The sequence below is a fragment of the Homo sapiens genome, chromosome 2 (assembly GCF_000001405.40).
Source record: "Homo sapiens chromosome 2, GRCh38.p14 Primary Assembly".
In the NCBI taxonomy this organism is placed as follows: Eukaryota; Metazoa; Chordata; class Mammalia; order Primates; family Hominidae; genus Homo; species Homo sapiens.
The window spans coordinates 180,654,442-180,658,317 of NC_000002.12; the positions used below are offsets into that span (position 1 = coordinate 180,654,442).

General features: G+C 35.8%; 1 annotated feature.

Moving 5' to 3' along the window:
- Positions 1,825-3,024: an enhancer, noted in NCBI's record as "P300/CBP strongly-dependent group 1 enhancer chr2:181520993-181522192 (GRCh37/hg19 assembly coordinates)". NCBI's record gives its function as "activates an origin of replication core promoter dependent on BRD2, BRD4, P300/CBP, MED14 and CDK7 cofactors, with strong dependence on P300/CBP, by STARR-seq in HCT116 cells {active_cell/tissue: HCT116}" and the evidence as "EXISTENCE:reporter gene assay evidence [ECO:0000049][PMID:35650434]".

Here is a 3,876-nt window from a genome sequence, read left to right on the forward strand (position 1 = left end):
AGACTTTTACTCTAGAAGATTCTTAAATGTTTGAATTCAGTCGATGTAAATAAGTACACACAATTTGATTTGGTTTCTCTTATTATTCATTAAAAGTTTACAAATACGATTTTGAGACTTTTGAAAATCCTAGCACGGATTTTGAATTATTCTATTTGTATAGATAATGTTGAGGTTTGCTCTACCACTGGAACTGATTTCTAGCTCTTCCTGACTTTTAAAGAAGTATATCCCTTGATAATTCTGTATTCTCCTCTTTGGGCATCGTTTTGGAAATAAGACTATTCCTGTGCTCCATGATTTTCTCAGAAAAACAAGTAGGTCTCCTGTACATGGATTTAGTAAAATGACAGCTACACTCTAGAGGGAGTTAATGCTGATTTGGGAATTCAAAGACAAAAATCAGAATTAGAGTTAGCAGAAATGTCGCATTTCTCATACAATGCTGAATTTAGATTAAATTCAGTCCAAGAAATTACTGTTGAAGGTTCTTATGGACGCTTTAATTTTGTTCTAAGTCAAATCGCTCACTCATGAGGATAAACTCCATTAGACTGTCTGGTCAATATAAAGTGCTCAAGAATTAAAATATATAATCTGTTTACCAAAATGTGTTTTTCTGCAAACTAGCCATGCCAATATCTTAAAAATCAGTTGGTTATCATTTTTCTAGGCTTAAAAGAATGTTTTAAAACATTAATTTTTAACCTCTATTTAAAAATGTTTGGCATAGCTGCCTTGTAGACATGATCTACTTTTAAAAATATTAGTAAATAGTATAATTGTCTTAAACATTTTTTTAAAAATCCTCAAATTATGTTAAATTTGATTGTCTGTCCCCAACTCTGATTTGAGCAAAACTGTCCTATAAGAACTTCTGGATCATGCAGTTAGAATCCACTAAATTAATACCTTTAGAGACCTAAGGCTCATTTACATGCATTTATACTTTTCCATTACTAGCTTATAACCAGGTAAACTTCATTTTTCCTTATTCTGTCTTTATTCCTGAGGCCACAAATCCTGCTATATCAAACTACTCCCAGGTCCACAGAAGTGCTAGCTTCTTTCTCAGCAGTGAACAGTCATATGGCTCTTTCATTTACTTGGAATGCTCACTATGCTTTTTTCACACTTAATTCCTTTTGGTCTTTCAGGACATACAGCATAACCCCCTCAGAGAATCCTTTCTGACTCACCTGGTCTGGATAAGTTGCTCGTCTTATTTCAGTGCTTAACACTTAGAACCCTGTACTCTAGTGACTTATTTTCATATCTCGTTGAGGACAGGCACTGTGACATTTATCTCATCTTTTATGGCATGTAGTGATTAATCAGTAAATGTTTGCTGAATGCCTACCTGAATGAATAAATATCTGCATTTTGAGGCTTCCCTTGACATTCATTTTATTCAGAATTGACATTATTACCATGAATGGAAGAAATAGTGTCGGTGATTCACACCTTTTCACAGCTGGGGAAGTCACTGGGAACATGGACAAATAGTTACTGTGGATTTCTGTCCCTTGTCCATTTAATGTTAGCCACTTATGTCATGTGACCATAACAATGCTTATTTCACAAACAAGAATTGAATCCCTGCTATTAGCCTGGCACTAAGGAAACAAGCATAAAGATGTCTTTGTTTTCAAGGAGTTTAGAACTGAGTTGAAATGAACATTAAAACAATCAGCATTCCAATGAAAGTGTGTTCAATGAGGATATGTAATGAAAGAAAGAAGAGAGCATTACTGTCTACCTTTGGGAGAACAGAAAAAACTTCACCCAGAGGGTCACATCCATGATGGGTTTTCCAAGTGGACAGAAGTGGTACTTCCAGGCAAAGAAAACAGGATGGACATAAGTGTGAAAGAGTGAAATTGCTGTAACACTCATGGCTTGACTGAGATTTAACTATTTTTCTTCTAGCTCAGGAAAATACCTTGTGAAGTTGGAATAATAATTTTCTTCTTACAGCAGTGTTTTTCCATGGGACTGTAATGTATTAAAAGGGTAAGCTGGATTACCAAAGATTTAATAATTTAATATCATGGCTTGGAAATCTGTCTCCACTTCATTCAAAGGCAAAATCTCTTTGTGATGAGAAACTATTCTCCTAATTCATTGAAGCCTCCCATTTGCCTCTGATGAAGGAGCTAGTGCTAATGTCAAATCCATGAGTCAGGTGTAGTTGCTATGAGTCACTGAAAGGAATGACACTAGTCCTCAACCATCTGTTTTCAGTTGTGCTGACAGCAAGGTCTGGATGAGGTAAGTTGCAGCTACTAGGTCCTGCATCTGCGACTTCCACACCTATCCCTAACCTATTCTATGCCAAAACTTGAAGTGGATGATGTCTAGGCAGAGGGACTTGCTATATATTCTTGATATGCCACTGGTAAAATGGTGGCTTTGTACAAAATTTCATGTTTAAAAAGTGGCAAACAATAAAGCAAGGTACCTTGACATAGCAAGAAGTGAAATAATACTGTAAGTGCTCAGTGGCCTCAATAAATAATTTCTGAGATCCAGTATCTATCCAAGAGATCCACTGTCATTGGTCCATCAGTCCATAGAAAGCACCTGAAATATCATAAGTATTACATAAATTTTTGTTGAATTAACATATAAGGTCACTGGGATAGGAGAAATATGAAGGCAAAATTAGCTCAATATGAAGTCTTTGCTTAATAAGTAGTAACTCAGTTGCCGCCTCAAAGAAGTAGGGAAACAGAAGGAGGCAGTACACAAGTGATTCAATATCTTCACAAGTGCTTTGTGATTCATGCTGCAGTAATGAGACTCCCTTATCAGGAATCATTGAGCTCCTTTGGGGGATGGGGACCAGCATAAGTGAGCTTTCCTCCACTGGGGATAAGTGTGCCCAACAGCACATTATAAAGGTATTCCAGCATCCTGTGTGCCTACTCTTTCTAGGTTTCTGAGACAACCAGGACAGATTTTACAGGCAAAACTTGATTCTTTGGTTGCCTCCAGTTATATGACAATCCCAAGCATCACCATGATAAAACATTCTCTTTCTGTTTTCTCTTTTCTTGGATCCTTGCTTCTTTTACTCTTAGGCCACAGTTGATCTGGCCAATCATAACTAGTACTGTATGAACTGGATAGATCAGAGTCACCATACTGAACTTGATTTGAAATAATGAACACATTTTCCTCTTGATTTATAAATTCTACAGGTTGTATTTGGGGAAGTGGCTATTAGAGATTAAATCTGAGACATTGGATTGCCATTTTTATCATTGCCTTTCTAGCCATAGACACATTAATTAGTGCAGTGACAAGGTGAATTTTGACAGGCTGCCCAAAATGGTCTACATTACTTTTGGTAGAAGAAGAGCAATGAGAGACAGGATACATTGAGTATTTCAGAACAAAGTGTTCCTTGATGATTTATTGGTCCCGAATTCTTCCACATATTCCTTTGGGTAGAAGAATTCAGGGATTTGAATTTGTGCAAAGAACAAGAATGAGATAGTTTAAAATTTTTTTAATAGGGTCTGTCCATGTCACCTGGCAAGTGGTTCATTCAGTCTGACATTTCAGATTTTTGCCCCTGCTGGATGTTTTCCCTGTCTTGCTCTTTTGCTTTCCATTTATTCAAATCCTCTCCAGTTACTAAGATATTATTGATTTCTCATGGCCTGGTATGAGTCTATGAAGCTCCCTCTGGTTATTCCAGTTTATGCTATTTTCTTTTTTAAGCAGATATTACATTTCTTGCTTATAGTATAATAGATAGCATTTCAGTTTTAGTATATTATTAATTGATTTATGTGTTTTACAGTCAGATTTAATATTTAATAAACACTGAATATACAAGTTTCATATTATCTAATAAGATCATATTAA